Source organism: Homo sapiens, chromosome X (assembly GCF_000001405.40).
Source record: "Homo sapiens chromosome X, GRCh38.p14 Primary Assembly".
NCBI lineage: Eukaryota > Metazoa > Chordata > Mammalia > Primates > Hominidae > Homo > Homo sapiens.
Window position 1 is genome coordinate 31,138,958 of NC_000023.11, and position 18,756 is coordinate 31,157,713.

Genomic DNA, 18,756 nt, shown 5'->3' on the forward strand with positions numbered 1-18,756 from the left:
ACTTTTTTCACTTATTCAACAAGAAAATACTGAGTTCCAGTTGCACACTAGAGACCTGCACAGCCCTTATCCCTACTTCACAGATTCATTGCCTGCTCAAATAGCATATTGCTAGTCTTTGGGGGATTTTAAACTTAGTTGATGGCAATGCTTTAACACTTAAACTTGACTCTACTCCAAGGTGATTTCCACAAACATGCATAAATAATAGATGTCAGTGTGGATGTGGTGAAAACAGAACACTTTTACACTGCTGGTGGGAATGTAAACTAGGACAACCACTATGGAAAACACTATGGAGGCTCCTTAAAGAACTAAAATGTAGAACTACCATTTGATCCAGCAGTCCCACTACTGGATATCTACCCAAAGGAAAGGAAGTCATTATGTGAAAAATATACTTGCATACCAAGATTATAGCAGCGCAATTCATAATTGCAGAAATACGGAACTAGCTTAAATGCCCATCAACCAACGAGTGGATAAAGAAAATGCAGTATGTACGTGGTGTTTATATACACACACACACACACACACACACACACACACACGCCATGGAATATTAGTCATGAAAGGAATGAAATAATGGCATTCACAGCAACCTGGATGGAGTTGGAGACCATTACTCTAAGTAAAGTAACTCAGGAATAGACAACCAAACATTGTACTTTCTCACTTATAAGTGGGAGCTAAGCTATGCGGATGCAAAGGCATGAGAATGATACCATGGACTCTGGGGACTTGGGGGGAAGGGTGGGAGGGGGGTGAAGGATAAAAGACTACACGTTGGGTACAGTGTACACTGCTCAGGTGATGGATGCACCCAAATGTCAGAAATCACCACCGAAGAACTTATTCATGTAACCAAACACCACCTGGGTTCCCTGAAAACTACTGAAATAATAAAAAGAGAAAAATAATGTTTTTTGGATTATTAGCTATTTGGTCTTCCTGGCTTGTCTGATTGTGGTCCAAATAAATCACTGAAACATTTTTTAAAATAAGGAAAGACATAGTCAAAGTTAAATAGTACCGTGATATAGCAAAATATGATAGTCTCCTTTAATCACTGCTGAAGTGAAGAAAAAAGAAGTGGGATGACTCAATTTAATCCGAGAAAAAAGAAAAGGAATGCTTTGCCATGGCAAGATATTCTTCAGTCTTCTGAAATATAACGATGGTTTCAGATCCCTTTCTTGAAGGGAAGATATCCCATCTGACTCACTTCCCTTTGATTCAAACGCTGATAATGGTTCTATCTGCTTAAAAAGTGATTTTAGCCAGAACCTACGCAGCCTATGCAGAATAGACACAAGAATTACTCCTGTGTTTTTGTCTGAATCTAAACAAATTATTTTCTCTTTTTTTTAAAAAGGAGCTGTGTACAAGAAATTATTTTTTCTCATAAAGGGGGCTGTGTATGAACAAATACGCCCACCAACATTTTTCTTTGGATTTTAACCAGTTTCCGACTTGATGTGTTATTATCTTAGTACTTGTGTATTTCCTGCCTTTCTCCAGTATTTTTTAGAAGAAAAAGCACACTGATGTATCCAATACCCAACATTTGGCTACAATTAATTTTTTTCCATATGATATAGGACCGATGCTTTCAATTTCACACATAAATTCTGTGTGTAACACCTTTAACATATTATGGTGTACAATGTTGTTGCTGATTATTAGCTGATCAGTTGTGAATGGTGGTGAAAGATACTGAAACTAGTAGCTAAATTTCCTAAACGTGTGGGCTGTTCCATGTGTACACAAGAATGTATTATGCTTGATTTCTAAAATATTAACTCAACAAGCACTTTACTGATTGTTTGTTGCACAGAGTATCCTCATACAGTAACGACAATGAGCAAGACTTACATCCTGTCCTTAAGGAGCTTAAGTTCTAGGGAGTTGTAGGCAGAAGAAAGAAGTACTAGTAACTGGCTGAAAACATGGCTGGGTGTGGTGGCTCATGCCTTTAATCCCAGCACTTTGGGAGGCTGAGGCGGGTGGATTGCTTGAGGTTGGGAGTTCAAGAACAGCCTGGCCAACATGGTGAAACCCTGTCTCTACTAAAAATACAAGAAAAAGTAGCCAGGCATGGTGGCGAGCCTGTAATCCCAGCTACTCAGGAGGGTGAGGCAGGAGAATCGCTTGAACCCAGGAGGTGGAGGTTGCAATGAGCTGAGATCGCACCACTGCACTCCAGCCTGGGCAATAAAGCGAGACTCCGTCTCACACAAAAGAAACAACAACAACAACAACAACAACAACAACAACAAAACCAGAATGATATAATGCATGATTAAGTTCCAAAAGAAAACTCACTGAGTGAAAAGAAAGGATGCTATATTTCAGGTTAAGAACATAATGTACTCAAGGCCAAAGAGCACATTTATTCTGTTGTCAAACAGAAGGCATAAAATGCTTAAAGAGGGGAATAATATGATATAATTTGAATGGTAGAAGAGGAACTGAAGTTTCTGGAAGATAGCTTAGAAAGGGAGAGAGACCAAAGGCAGAGGAACCAATTAGGAAAGTATTCATATTGTCTGTTCAGGTAACACATGATGAGGGCTAAATTTGGGCAGAAGTAGCTGAATTGAAGAATTTTGCTCTTTTTCATAAGTAGCAAAACACACTGACCTTGGTGACTGGATTGATGGTGGTGGAACATAGCTAAGGAAGGCAGGTAAAGGAAGAAGGGGTAGAAAATGACTTTGTATAGATTGGGAAATTGGAAGAGATGCTCCAAAGGTTGATCATGATTTCAGATTAGGCTATATTTTTATTTATAATTTTATCCAGAAGATGCTCAGGTGGGAGGTCTGGGCTGGAAATCTTGACTTAAGAGTTGTCAGCATAGCAGAAGCCAAAGTATGGAAGGAGCGCCCAGGGAGAGTGAAGAACGGTGAAGGGGATGGAGAATCTTGAGGAAAACCTTGATGTGATGTACTGAGGATACCTTACCTATATGGTAATCTGGCATAAAACATTTAACCCGAACCCAATCACTTGGATACAAGCAGACAAATTCAAATTGGGGGACATTCTACAAAACATCTAGCCCGACCTCTTCTAATATATCAATGTCATGAAAGATTTAAAGAGGCTGGGAAAGTGCTTCAGATTAAAGGAGACTACAGGGACATCACTGATCCTGAATGTAAAATATCGCTATGAAGAATATTAATTGGCAGAATTGGAGGTATTTGAATTTAAATTCTACATTATATAACAGTATTGTTCTTTTTGAGCATGATAATTGTGCTTATGCAAGAATATCTTTCATTTTAGAAGGCACGTGTTCAAGTGTTTAGGGGTGAAGTGTTATGTATGAAACCTAACCATTGAGTGGATCAGTGAAAAAAAAATCCACAAACTATATACACGCATGAATATGATTAAATATGCACATAAAATATAAACATATACAGTATATAAAAATATGTTAACATACAGATATACATGTTAATCTAAATATATGCAATCCATTTAACAACACATGAATGTAAAAGTACATAAATAAATAGCTATAAAGCAAATGTGGCAAACTGTTGAATTAATTGCAGTTTTGCCATAAGTTTGAAATTGTTCTAAATAAAAAGCTAGGGAGCCATTATGTCATAAACCTCAAATGTACATGATAAATTTTTTAAAAAGCAAAGGAACAGTTTAATTTTTAAATCAATAAAATATAAAATGCTTCAAAAAACAGTAATCTGGTGGAAAGTTAGGAGTCATCAGAGATAAGGAGTTGTCTGGACATCACAGATTTGTATATGGAGCCCATGAGAGCCAATAGGGGATAAACATTGTTAATTGCTATTTTGTTCTGTATTTGCTTCCTCCAATAGAATGTACGTTTCATTAGCACATTGTCTCAGTAAGAACTGTACAGAATACAAATGGTACATAGAGACTCAGTGATAAGTATTTCATGGCTTGAGGAAATATGTTGACTCTTTAGACACATCACCTAATATGACTTGTCTCATGTTTCACTTAAAAGAAAATCAGTCATCGGGGTTGCATATTTAAAGAATGCAGCTCTATCCAGAATGTGGTTCAGCAGATCCCAGCCTTGTATCTCAAACCTTCAAAGCCCAAGTATATACACTGCATTTATTTAAACACCTGTGTGCATCCTTCAAGAAGACGGTAAGGCTTTTTTCCTTTTTAAATGAAGTTAGCTTATGCAGTTCGATATGGTTTGGTTCTGTGTCCCCATCCAAATCTCATGTTGAATTGTAATCCCCATGTGCTGCGGGAGGGGTCCGGTGGGAGGTGACTGGATCATGGCGGCGGTTTCCCCCATGCTGTTCTCATGATAGTGAGTTCGCATAAGATCTGATGGTTTAAAAGTGTGGCAGTTCTCCCCTCGCTTTCTCTCTCCTGCCGCTATGTAGCACATGCCTTGCTTCCCCTTCACCTTCCCCCATGATTGTAAGTTTCCTGAGGCCTCCCCAGCCTTGTGGAACTGAGTCAATAAACCTCTTTCTTCATAAATTACCCAGTCTCAGGTAGTTCTTTATAGCAGTGTGAAAACAGATTAATACACAGTTCAAGAAAAAGTACCCTTGAATTCAGTCTTTTCTTTCAGAGGACAAATTTAACACAGCTTATCCATTTTATGCCAGCAAGTTATCTCTTAGCTTAGCCATTGGAATATAGCACTTTTGTCCTGGTATTCAGTTCTACCATGATCTTTTTAGCTCCACAGATCATCAGGACCACATCCTAATGTGCACTTTAATTTGAGTGCTTTAACGAGTATGCTGCCTATTCGCCATTGTCAACGACCTAAATAATTATTAATGCTTCTAAGCACCCAGGGCTCTGAATCTGACCACTAAAATATGTAACTTAGTTTCATATGCTTTACTTACTTAAAAAAGGGGGAAAATCCTGAAGTAGAAAAAAATAAGAGGTACTAAAGCTCAGTTGTTTTCAGAATTTACAGACTTTGCAAATGCATACAGTTGTTTTTCATGTAGTGTGTTGTCATTTACAATCCCAACAGTTTATTAGCTATATTCAGATCTCAGGTGGAGGGAGATAATCTGACACAGAGATTGCCTTAAATCATGGAGGTGTAGTAAATTCAGGAAAATAACCTCAAACATATCCTTTTCCTTCTCAAAAAAATCAAAACCTGGCTTTCCTACAAGATTTGGCTTCTCCAGAGGAGGATGTGCCTCTTCCCACTGCTCCAGGTTCTTGAACTTCATCACATTTATTTCAACTACCCTGTCTCTTTCCTCAGAAATGTTCATCTCCTCAGAGCCCTCGTCCATCTTCTTCAACATCTTTTCCATCCTGATCTACCACTGTCGTCAGGATCTGGACCTCACCCCTCTGCTGATAAGCTCAGCAACGTTGGTCTCATCAACTCCATGAACTGTACTCCCTACCCCTCAGTGATCTCCAAGTAAAATCTTCAGCAGCTCGCTGGGAGGCACCATGTTAGATGTAGAAATTGCTTGAAAGTATTTTACTTCCATGATATCCAACTTTTGAATTTTCCCGACTGTGATCTCCAAATTTTTCGCCATAAAACTCACCCACACCCCTGACTTTTCCTTTCTGTCCTATCCATTTTGGTTAAGGCACTTTGCCTCCCTTTATTCTACCCTCATGGAAGAGCTCAAGTATGAAATGAATTCCTGAACACATCATCATATCAGGCAATAGAGCTGTAAGTGTATGGAATCAAGGAGTCACAGGTCTTTTCTATTCTGTGAGGTAAGATTTGAGAGGACCAAGTATATAACCAGTTTAGGTCCCAGGGAAAAGTAAGGAGAGAGGATGGAGCTGACTCCTACTGGGCCTTTACAGAGAAAGAGAAATGAGGAAGGGGGACCAAGTATTTGTGGCCTTCATAAAACCCTCTATTGTCTAGCCAGACACAGCAGGAAAAACCAATGAGCAGCTGGCTAGGAACCCCTGTCCTAGCCATTCATTACCACTGTAAAATGCCCTACTCTTGTTTTGACCTTTGATCATTTATGCCTCATCAGCTCCACCTTTCTTAGAACCTAGTCCTAGGCAGAGAACATTGCTAAGAATGAGAACAGAACATGTGGACCATTTCCTCAACAAATTCATCCAACTTTTGCCTAAGGCTTCCTTCTTACTTGGTAATGTTTCAAAATTGTCTTCACTTTCCTTAATCCTCATTCATTTTAAGATTACCTAGTCTTTCATTTCATTGAAACAGAAGTTTTCCACCTTCCCTTCTCTTGGCCTAAAATGGTTTCTCAAAATTACCCAATGCATTTATAGTGACCCAATGGACTGTGATTTATTTTAATTTCCATTGAGCTCTCTTTAGCATTTCACCTTTTTGTCACATCTTCCTTGAACCTCCCTACTTATCCATCCTTTACTATCCCATTACCCAAATGGAGGTCTTTTCCAAGGCACTGGATCGAAGCACCTGTGTTATAGATTTTATAGATTTCTCATCTCACACCCTTCAGCAATCAATTCTATGAAACTCATTCTCAAATCTCTCCAGTTTGCCCACTTACTTCAAGTATAGATCTGTATCTTAATTTCTTTTGGGACATGACTTAGAAGACCTGTCAATTTCTCAAACACATTATGTCCACAATCAGAAGTTTCACTATCTTCTTCCAACCAAATCCTCTCCCTTCATTCCTCTTCTTACAATTTGCACTCAGTCCCCAGACCCTGGGAACTCTATTTTTTTTTTTTTTTTTTGAGACACAGTCTTGCTCTGTCGCCCAGGCTGGAGTGCAATGGTGCCATCTTGGCTCACTGCAACCTCCGCCTCCTGGGCTCAAGCGATTCTCCTGCCTCATCCTCCCGAGTAGCTGGGACTATAGGCGCCCACCACCATGCCTGGCTAATTTTTCTATTTTTAGTAGAGACAGGGTTTCACCATATTGGCCGGGCTGGTCTTCAACTCCTAACCTTGTGATCCGCCCACCTCACCCTCCCAAAGTGCTGGGATTACAGGCGTGAGCCTCCACGCCCAGCCCCCTGGCAAGTCTATTTTTATAGAATAGTCTCACAGTCCTCTCCTCCCACATCTCTCAAGTGCAGGCCCTCAGAACTCACCAATCTTGGCCTTGGCAATTGCCTCCTAACTGGTCTTCTCACCTATACAAGTTTTCTGTGGGCCAGATAGAGCTGCCAGAATACACCTTTTTAGAATTTTCTTTTTAGACTTTTTTCGCCTGGTATATGATTTTCAGTGGCTCCCTGATACCAAGATGAGTCAAACACTTACGGCCAAATATTCATGTCCCTGTAATACGACTCTACCTTTCTTCAGACAACAAAATCTGAGAGTAGCTAGGACACTTACCCATGGAGTCCGAAGTTTGACTGCCAACCACTCGGAGCAGCATAGGCTGACTGCTGTCGGACCTCTGTAGAGAGGTAGAAGGAGAGGACACCGTTGTGCCATTCACTTTGGCCTCTGCCTGGGGCTAAGTCATCCAAAAGAAAACAGAATTACTTTTCATAATAAACATACAAATGTATAAATTTCAAAATATGATACACACTCAGGACTCATAAATTTTGACCCTTCCTACTTTAGAAGCCCTCCCAAAGATTGTTTAATTTGGGATATTTCACTGTTGATATAATCCATAGAAACTGTCTTTGTATCTGAATTGTGCTCCCTTATAAATTTGAGAAAAAAATCAGAGCTACACTGGAATGAGACTATACATCATTACATTAAATAACTGGAAGATTTAGAAGGTCATGTGTGAATGATGAGACTATGTGAGATCTCAAAACTGTAATGGAAGATTCATATCTTTGTGAAGTATTAAGTAACAAGATAGAGAGAACATAATTGAAAAATTTAAAATTCCCAGAAAGCCAGAACTATGTCCAGGTAGGTCCTCTTACAATGCAGTATCTTGCTAGGTTTTCGATGGAGGCTTAAAGAACTATGTGTTAGGGATTAGGAGAAAAAAAACACAAAGGTATACCAGAAAATATAACTAATTGTAAATGAAATAGTTCCATTTCAAGAAGTGAAATATTCACTTTTAGAGAACTAGTGGAAACCTTTAGGCGTTTTTTTCCCCAAGATGTATTTCAAATTGGTCAAGAAAAAACCATTTTGGTAGGAAACAATATTGGACAAATACAAAAAAGACACACTAGTTTTTCTATCTCCTCTACTTCTATCCTTTGATACTATCACTTTGCAGGCACATACCAAGCACTTAAGAATTGATGCTTGTTGCACCTATAAAAAGTGCTCTCTGAGGTTTAGTTTTGTTTAAGAGGGAAAAATGAATGTTTGTAAAAATCCCATCTCTCTCCTCACTTGCTCCAGCAGCTGCCTTAGCCTGTGTAACTGTGACTCCAGCTGTTTATTGTGGTCTTCCAGGATTTGCATCCTGGCTTCCAGGCGGCCTTTGTGTTGACGCAGTAGCTTGGCCTCAGCAATGAGCTCAGCATCCCGGGGACTCTGGGGAGAGGTGGGCATCATTTCAGGAGGGGACGGCAGTGGGGACAGGCCTTTATGTTCGTGCTGCTGCTTTAGACGGTCATATTCTGCTTGCAGATTCCTATTGGCATCAAAAAAGTAAAAAAGAAAAAAAAAGAAAGAAAAAGAAAAAGAAGAAAAAAAGTAATTTGAATATCATCACCAAATTTTATATACCATGGTAGATAGATGCATCTGACTGCCACCGAAGAACAGCAAGCAAAAGAGGCACTAATGAATGGTTTTAATGATGACAATCTTACCAGTGCTAAAAGAACAAAACAAAATTTGAAGCTTTTGCCTGGTGTGTGAAGGGAGCCATGCTTTTCAATTTTTTATGTTACACTAAAAGCCTCGCGACTGGTATGTTCAGATAAGTAAGCAGCAAAGGATTTAATCACTTTGTAAATATTTCTTTATAATGTCATGAGATTAAAAATTTTATACCTCTATCAACACTTTGGTTTGCTCTAAACATTAGCAAATATTTTCAACAGAAATGTATAAGAATGGAGTAAGTATACCCATGTTCCTATCACCTCCCCTTGATAAGTTTATCATTTGCCATATTTTCTTCAAAAGTTTTTTGAAGAAAGAAAAGTTAACAGCCAAAGCAGAAGCTCCCTCACATGCCCGCCTCAACACCATACCATTCTCTCCTCCCCGCTGCCCTCAAGGAGATAATGCCACACTGAATTTCATGCCCAGTGTTACCATGAATGTATCAACAAATACTAGGTTGAGCTTAAAAAAGATGCTGATGTTTGCCTGTATTTTTCTTTCACCTACAAAAACACCCATTTTATGTGATTCAATCTAATAACATTATTTTGCATGTTTTTAAACTTTAAATTTAAGAACTTCACATTTAAGAATATACATACCATTCTAAGAGTTGCTTTTTGCCTTCAACACCATTTTGGAGATTTCTCCAGGTCGATACATAATAGTTTGCTATTTTAACTGCCATAAGGTATTATTATTCTGTTGCTTGAATATGCCAACATTTTCCTGTCCATGGACATTTAGGTTGTTTCCAACTTTTCACTATTATAAACAATGATACAATGAAATTCTTTTTTATACCTATCTCCTTGGATACCTGTTGAAGAGATTCTTTACAGAATATAGTTTGATGTGGAATTGTTGGATCTTAGCAACATCTTCAACATTGCTACATGTCACCGAATCGCTCTGGGTGACAAATCGGTGCTTTTACCAATTTACTCTCGCTTCAGTAGTGAATGAGGTTTTCCATTTGGCCCACCTCCTCACCAAATACTTGGTGTTATCAGACATTCAAGTTTTAGTTAACCTGATGGGTGCATTTTAATTTGCACATACATCCCGGATTACTGGCAAGGTTAGACTTCTTCCATGTTAACTGGCTTTTCATGCTTCCTTTACCCATTTTCCTGCTGGATTGTCTTTTTCTTTTTAAACCTTTGGATATGTTCTAGATGCTAATCCATTGTTAGTTATGTGCATGGCAAATATGATCTTCTACCCTTATCTTAGTGTAGCTTATCTTTAACTTTGCTTATGGCATCCTATGGTATAAAAGATGTAAATTTTAACATATCCCTGTATGTTCTCTGCTTTTTATGTTTTGTTCACGAAAATCTTTTCTTACACCTACATTTTAAAGTTTAAAATTTGGTTTTTCACATTTAGGACTTGAATTTACCCAGAATCTATTTTTGTGCTTGCCGTGAACATGCGATCTAATTTTACTTTTCCCCCATGGATAAACTATGAAGCCAGCCTCATTCATTGTATGGTCCATCTATTTCCCACTGATCTCTAACGATGCTTCCGCAAAACATCAAGTGTCCATAAATATACAGGTGTGCTTCTGAGCTCTGTATTCTAGTCTGTGGTTCTATCTGCATATCCCTGGTAGATCCCACACTCCAGCTTTAAATCAATTGATGTCTGATAGGCCTTCTCAGCCCACTTTGTTTTTCCTCAAAATTGTCTTGACTATTCTGACCCCTTTGATCTTCTCCATGATTTTAGTGTTTGGTTTTCTGATTTTATGAAAATGCTTGTTGAAATTTTGAGTTTGAATTACATTGAATTCATAGGTTAAACTGGGAAGAACTAAGTTCATAATAATTGAGTCTTCACATCCAAGAATGCAGTGAAGCTCCTTACTTACTATGGTCTCATTTTATGTCCATTAATAATGTTTTACTTGTTACTCTTTTTTTTCCTCTTGCTTTACAGGTTGAATAAGTCATTGATTTTTTATTTTTAATGAACACATTTAGGGTTATACATTTCCTCCTTGGTACCACTTTAATTATATACCAAAAGTTTTTATATACATCACCTGATTCAATTCAGTGCCTTATGTTTTGTAATTCTTACTGTGATTTCTTTTAACTTAACCCATAGTCATTTAGGAGCACAGTGGTTATATTTCCATTTTCACTTCTTAGTGCATTTCTAATTTAATTGCGTTTCAATCAGAGAACCCCTGTATGATACTGATCCTTTGAAATTTAGCAATACTTCTTTTTGTGACCTAGTTCACAGTCACTTTCTAAAAATGTTCATTGAGTACTTGAAATAATGTGTATTTTTCCATTGGAAAGATGGAGTCTCTAAATACATAGTGTGCTGATTTTGTTGTTAAAATTGTCCATATCTTTATTAATTTTTGATTATTTGTAGCTATCAATTTTTGTTAGATGAGTGTTGAGATATAATTATGGATTTGTTAGTTTCTCCTTTTAATTCTATCATAATTCACTTTATATATTTCTAGACCTATATAGTTAGATGCACAGAAGATCCTCGTTGTTCTTGCACTGTTTCTAGGTAGTATACTTTTTCTTCCTAATAATGTTGATTGCCATAAATTTTATTCCATTTAAAGGTTTCTATGGTTATTCCACTGTCTTTTGGTTATATTTGGTTAATTTCCAAATAAATATAAACAGTATTAGCACATGTGAAGGTCCCAAATGCTTTAGGATTTACTGAGAATACAATTCCAATTGAGGACATTTCTGATATTTGATATCCAGTGACTGATTAGAACTCTTGACATCTTTCTTCTACTTGTGATAAATACCAAAATAAGATGACAGATTTCTGTTGTTCACAGATGATATTTCATCAGGTGAGAGAAATTCCTATCCACAAATGTGGGAGATCTATATCAATGAGAAAAGAGATGAAATGTAAGTAGTGAGTAGCCAAGAAGAGTTTTCCCATTGTCCAGTTTGAGAAAGCAAGATCATCTCATCACCAGGTCTGCTAAATATTTTCTGTTGTCCCATACTCGGAATGAACATTCCACAGGGGACGGCATGTCTTCCAAAATGCTCAGTTTCAAAAGGCTAGATCTCCACATGGAAGCAGAAAGAAAACCCAATCTACTCTGGTTTTTTTCTTTGTTTTGTTTTGCTTCATTTTTTTCATTCTACCTAGTACCTAACATTACAAGGTTTCCAGGAATTTATTTAAAGTCACACAGAAAATCAATGTATGATCTTTTTCATCTACAGAAATAGAATCTCCTATCTGTACTGATTGAAATCCTATTGCTATCAGCCTTCAAGGGTAGTTGTTTGTATAGTTTATTTCATAGCAATCTGCTTTGACAAAGCAGTGATGAGAAGAGATTCATCGAAGTAAGTACACCTTCAGTCAGATTCTGCACACGGGTCTTCTGGGTGTGCACCGATGTATGTAACTGTCCACATTAATTAAATCTAATTTCTGAGAACTTAACTGGCAATCAGTTCAATGTTTCTGTGAACTTGAAGCAGTATCCAATGTTCACAAGGTCTCATTCCATAGGAATTACTTTCTATTTTTCCCTCTTCATTAAAAGAAAACTTCAACAAAATGTTCTAACTGGCAACACTTTTTATGTAGAATCCTATTCAAATTTTTCTTTCTACCAGATTGGGGCAGCCATGGTGTTCCTTTTGAAAACAGTTTTTAGACATGGACCTCAAGATGGTACAACAAGCCATTACTGTCTTCCCACCTATTTTTCACAAAGGTGCTGACAGGAGACTGCCTTTTCTAGAGAGATCTTCCTTGGTATCTTGATCCTGTGGGTTTAGTTGTCCACAGGGCTCTTCTTTTATGATTTATTTATAAGGACCCTTGTTCAAGAGGCATGGTTTGGTATATACAACACATTACATTTCTGTTTTGGTGGTTTCCAGTGAAAACAGAAAAGGCTCATTTTAATCAGCCAAAGCTGAGCTGTAAAGAATATCAATTGCTCAATGCAGGCCTTTCTTTCCTTCCCAGATGTTTGAAATTTCTCTTGGGAGCACATTTCCTTCAAGACTCACATCCTTCTTCAATTCTGGAAGATTCTCAGCTATGACAGCTTCAAATATTACTTCTCTACCATTTCCTCCATTTTCTTCTGAAACCTCTCAAATACACTCCTAAACAAACCTCTAAATTCTAGTAAGGTATATTGTAGAGCCTGTGGTCAATTCTCCATTTCTCCTAATTGCTCATTTATATTTCTTATCTTTTTCTGTGAGTGTTGTACACAGTAACATTCTCAGCATCATCTTCTAATTCCCTTGCCTTCTCTGACAGGACAAAGTCTAGAATTTATCCTGTATATTGAGTTTAGTAACTTCAATGACTAGTTTTTTTGGCAAAGATATCTTTGTTTTCAGACCTAGTTACATTTCATCCATCTCTGTTTCTTAGTTTCTTGTTATTTTAGCGAGTGGTACCCCTTATTTATGCCTTTAAGCATCTTTTTTTTTTTTTTTGAGATGGAGGCTGGGGTGCAGTGGCACGATCTCCGCTCACTGCAACCACCACCTCCTGGGTTCAAGCGACTCTCCTGCCTCAGCCTCCTGAGTAGCTGGGATTACAGGTGCCTGCCACCATGCCCAGCTAATTTTTGTATTTTTAGTAGAGGCAGGGTTTCACCATGTTGGGCAGGCTGTTCTTGAACTCCTGACCTCAGGTGATCCACCCATCTCAGCCTCCCAGAGTGCTGGGATTACAGGCGTGAGCCACTGCACCTGGTCTGAGCATCTTAAATGTAAGTAAAAATCTTTGTTGTACTAGTGTATTATTTTGCTTTCTTCTAGAATTAATTCATCTTTTTTTTTTTTTGAGATAGGGTCTCACTCTGTTGCCCAGGATGGAGTGCAGTGGCACAATTATGGCTCAATGCAGCCTCATCCTCCTGGGCTCAAGCGATCCTCCTATCTCAGCCTCCTGAGTAGTTGGGACTACAGGCATGTACCACCACTCCTGGCTAATATATTTTAAATTATTTTTTGTAAAGATGGCACCTCACTACATTGCCCTGGCTAGTCTCAAACACCTGGGCACAAGCAGTCCTCCCACCTTGGCCTCCCAAAGTGATAGGATTACAGGTGTGAGCCACTGTTCCCAGCCTAATTCACTTTTTGATGTTTAACTTGGGTGGGGGGTGCTATCCCATTTCTTCATGTATTTTGGATCGTGATTTGGAGACAAATTTTGCAAGGGATGTTTTGCATGTGCATACATATGCATGTGTATGTTTTCTATTATTCTCATGTGTGTGTACTTTAATATTTTCCTCTCTTTTTAAACTCATTATCTCTCTCTCAGGTGGTTTTATGGCTTCTCCCAGCCATACCCAGGGGCTTAGAGTTTAGAGCCACATCTGTTGGTAGTTTGCAGCTCCTACACTGAGTGATACAGAGATATCACTCATTTCATTGCCAGGCAGTAGGTAGATTGGTTCAGGTCCTGGTTTCAAGGCTGTGATGCTCTCTTTCCCAACTGCGAATCTTTGCCTCTTCCCTCGGCTCTATGCATTAGGGCCATAGCTGCATATAAGCTGTAGACCCTTGCAGCAAACTGTTTCTTTTCATGTTGCTTTTAAGTGTAAGTGTGTATGTGTCTCTCTCTAGGTGTGTTTTTGTGGGGCTCTGATTTCAAATAGTAATCCTGGCTTTGGGCCACTACCTTGTAAGGAGAATTTTAATCCCTGTTACTACAGCACGAGCTGAAAGCCCACTAATTTAGCCCCACTTACTTTTTTTTTTTTCTTTCACATTTCTGGTTCACAGAGATGTTCATCTTGCTTTAAAGCCCAGCTATGTCTTTTTCATTTTTCACTCCATATATTATCTACCACTGGATAAATGGTAGGAGCAGAGAAAGATGCCTTCAAGCAAGAGCTAATGTTATCTTAATCAGAAGCCTACCAGGACACATTGATTTTGTAGATGTATAGTCAAGGTTCCCTCAGTATTAATTCAAGCCTTAATTCATCAGGCCAGGATTAAATGAGTCGAACAAGTGCTTTTCTTCTAAACAAACATATGACATACAGAAACCTCTTATTAAGCTCAATAGCAAACTTGATTTTGAGGGACTAGTTTTTCCTCCTGAAGCTCTGAGATAGGACAAGCTGTCATGATAAGGATTCTAAAAGCCAGAAATGGTTAAAAGAGGTATCTTGGCCTGCAACCAAATGAAATAAGGTTTTTTGATTTGAGTCTGAATTCTCTTTTAAGGTATTTCTAAATGTTCATGAGAATTATCAAGAAGAACTGATGCTGGAGGGTTTGAACTAGAGATGATTTTTACTAAATGTTTTCTAATAAATGCAGTCATAGTCACAGAGCTGTGTTAGGGCATATTTTTGTTAGGGGTTGGGAAATTGAGCCATTTAGCCCTTATCAATTACGCATTTGAATTTTCTTATATTTAAAAACATCTATGCCAATACTTTTTGAGGTATACCATAATGTTAGTTTTGATGCAGTATTAACGTAGGGGAGATCATTCTCATAAATGATCAAGGTTCCCTCAGAGTTACTGTTCCAAGGTAAGTTATTCTAATGTTTTTTTTTTATTTTTTTATTTTTTATTTTTTGAGACGGAATCTCGCTCTGTCGCCCATGCTGGAGTGCAGTGGTGCGATCTCAGCTCACTGCAAGCTCTGCCTCCTGGGTTCACATTCTCCTGCCTCAGCCTCCAGAGTCACTGGGACTACAGGTGCCCGCCACCACGCCCGGCTTTTTTTTTTTGTATTTTTAGTAGAGACAGGGTTTCACCGTGTTAGCCAGGATGGTCTCCATCTCCTGACCTCGTGATCCGCCTGCCTCGGCCTCCCAAAGTGCTGGGATTACAGGTGTGAGCCAACATGCCCAGCCTCTAATGTTTAACAAGTACACAATGCACTCGTTTTAACAGCTGTCAATTATTACCAATACATATTTTGCTTTTCTTGAAGGTATACACGTACATCTCACCCCTAATGATTCTCTAATTGTTAGAATGTAGTCATGAAGTCATTTCAATACAGATGAATATATGTCAGTGATCAGACAACGACTCCACAGAGAATCTATTTACGTTCTTGATTATCTTGTAAATTATATTTCTCTGGTAGCTCCCTAAGGAACATTAATTCAAATTCAATACACATGGCTTCTGTCACTACAATTTCTTCCTGTAGCCAGTCATCCTAAAAAAAGTCTTCCATCCAGTATTTCTTATTCTCTATAGAGCTAAGAATCCCCCCATTCTACAAATATGTAGATATATCTGATTAATTTTATGTCATAAAGAATATAAACTCTGTTGTCTACATACAAATTTACACTCAAAAAAACTTCCCAACCAACTAATGGACATAAGAGATTAATCAAATTGGCAAGGCTTGTTCCCTTAACTCAACCTGCTGAAAACATGAAAGCAGCTGGCCCTTTTAGCAATGATTTATGAGTGCCTCTCTAGCAATCGTAACTATTATGTATGATAAAGAACATTACAACAATCTCTGTGTAATTTAAACTAATTTACAAAGGTCAAATGATTTCAGTGTAAGTCATCTACTCTTTAAATGGAGCTTCCCTACTACGTGTAGTTATATAGTTGTATAATGATATTTATGAAATAAAGAAATGAAGGTCACTTTCCAGTGATCAATGTTTTCTTAACAGTATCATACATTTAACTGTATACCAAAGCATGAGCACACACAGGGATTATTTTGTAAAGTAGAACAACTACAAAGATTGCCATCTAAAAGGAATAGATCCAAAGAAATCTGGCTTTACCCTCATATAATATTAAAAGCAGCTAAATCATATCCACCAATCTAAATTCAGGCAAATGTAGTAAATCATACAGAACTATTACAGCAGCTATAAATGTAGCCAATCAGCAGTTTTTTTTTAAATGAAAGACAAATTCTGCAAGCAAGATGAACTTTAAAAACTGGAAATTGCATTGAGCCCTTGAAATTACAATAAAGCTCAGTGCAATGGCTCACACCTGTAATCCCAGCACTTTGGGAGGTTGAGGTGGGAGGATCACTTGAGCTCAGGAGTTCAAGACCAGCCTGGGCAACATAGGGAGACACCCCCACCATCTTTACAAAAAAATTGAAAAAAATTAGCCATATGTCGTGACACATGCCTGTAGTCTCAGCTACTCAGGAGGAGGAGGCTGGGGTGGGAGGACCGCTTGAGTCTGGGAGGTTGAGGCTGCAGTGAGCCATGATCATGCCACTGCACTCCAAGCTGGGTAACAGAGGGAGACTCCATTTAAAAAAAAAAGTGACAATAAAATTTTACAGTACAGCTTTAGACATCTTTATCAAACACAAATTCAAAAATACCCCTAAACTAGGTGGAAAAAGACATTAATAAGGATAAGCTCACAGGGTGAGAAGTAAGACTATGCATATTTTAGGTCAGCCTTAAGCAAAACAGTAAAAATGGCAGGACCCCTCCAGGCTCTTGTTTCTAATCATTTCTTAGCACTGTCCCCCTTTAAAACATTCAGAGCCTTACTTCCAAGCCCTTTCCTACTGAAATTTGCTCAGTATAAAGGTTTTATATAAGACATTTACATTTTACTGGGATTTTATAATAAAGTTGTCATTTCTTCTAGTGATATCTGCATTTTAAAACAGATGTCAAAGAACGTAAAGGAAAAAAATAAAAGCTTTGCCCCATCAGGGGAAAGGTTGAACAATGCCACTTTTTGACACGCTGCCTTTGTGGTGCCTTTCACCATCCATGGCTGAGGAGAGAATTAGAACAAGGCTTGAGAGATGGTCTTGGATTCAGAAGATCTTGATTTATGACTTACTTGCCTCTGCTGCTTGCTGAGGCTGGGCAACTGACTTAAGCACTAATTCAGTTATGAGGATTATTAAGCCAGTATGGTCGACATTCTATATGTCAAACTTTCTTTGAACCATGCCCAGCCCATACTGTGTTCAATAAATGTTGGTTACTATTATTATTGTTATTACTTCTTTCTCTATATATTATTTACTTTTTGGATTTAGAACCTCAGATGTGCTAAAAACTTCCTATAAAAAGAAAGCACTTAATTATCTGAAATGGAAGCAATCTACTTAGACCTACTGAGCTTGGCAGAACATATGCATATCTAGCGCTTAGAAAGTGACTAATCACTCAGTATTTGTCCTGTAGATACCTGAGTTCTAGCCCCTAGCCACATTGTAGCCACCCCCAAATTTTGGAATTATTGTGTATCATCCATCATCTGTGCCTTAGTAAAGTTTATCACAGCTGAACATCTGGGCAAAATGAAATCACTGAGTTAAGATCACTAGGATGAGATTTCCTTGATTTGACCCAATACGCTAGGTATGTGATGAAACTGTCAAATTATAATATGTCCATGGATCATTGCTGAAATAAAATATGTGGACCAAGGGTACAGGGTTAATGTATCTAGGTGGAGTCTATTTTCTGGATATGTCATTGACACGTAGATCTGTATCTTGCTCAAGTTCCAAGAGACAGAACATGACAATATTAATTGGCTTCAGTTTCTTAATCTTTAATGACTGAGATGTTTTTCACAAATTCCTGATCAGATGCTAATTCATTACTGTCTATAGACTAAATGTATTAATCAAAAGTTCAACACAAGAAGAATTCATAAGAAATTTTAACCACTTATAACTGGAAATAAGACAGACTAACAAAACCTAAGACAAAAATGGCAGTGGCTGGTCATCATCAGCCAAAAGGAAAAACTAGGATTGGAGAGGTTTTAGAGGTGAAGAACTCTAGTCCTCAGGAATACTGCCATTGGGAAAAGTGTGTTTCCATTTTCAGACAAATACAGCAAAATATCAAACTTTCATTGTCTGTGGTCAGCAAAAAGCCGTAACAGTCTCTAGAAGAATCATAATTTTAAGCTTTGTGTGTCCCGGCTTCAATCCCTCATGCGTAGTTAGACTTAGTCTTAAGTTCTCCCAGTAACTTCAATTTGATGGCCTATTT

The 18,756-nt window shown here is 38.1% G+C and overlaps 1 protein-coding gene across 24 annotated transcripts in view; it reads right to left on the reverse strand.

Annotated features, from left to right (window-relative positions):
- DMD (dystrophin) overlaps nt 1-18,756 on the reverse strand; it is a 2,220,167-nt gene that overhangs the window by 19,736 nt on the left and 2,181,675 nt on the right. For all 24 annotated transcript variants that reach the window (XM_006724469.4, NM_000109.4, XM_011545467.2 and 21 more), the window contains 2 exon segments: nt 8,318-8,561; nt 7,334-7,457 (listed from right to left, as the gene is read on the reverse strand). In XM_006724469.4, the coding sequence (XP_006724532.1) occupies nt 7,334-7,457; nt 8,318-8,561 (368 nt within the window).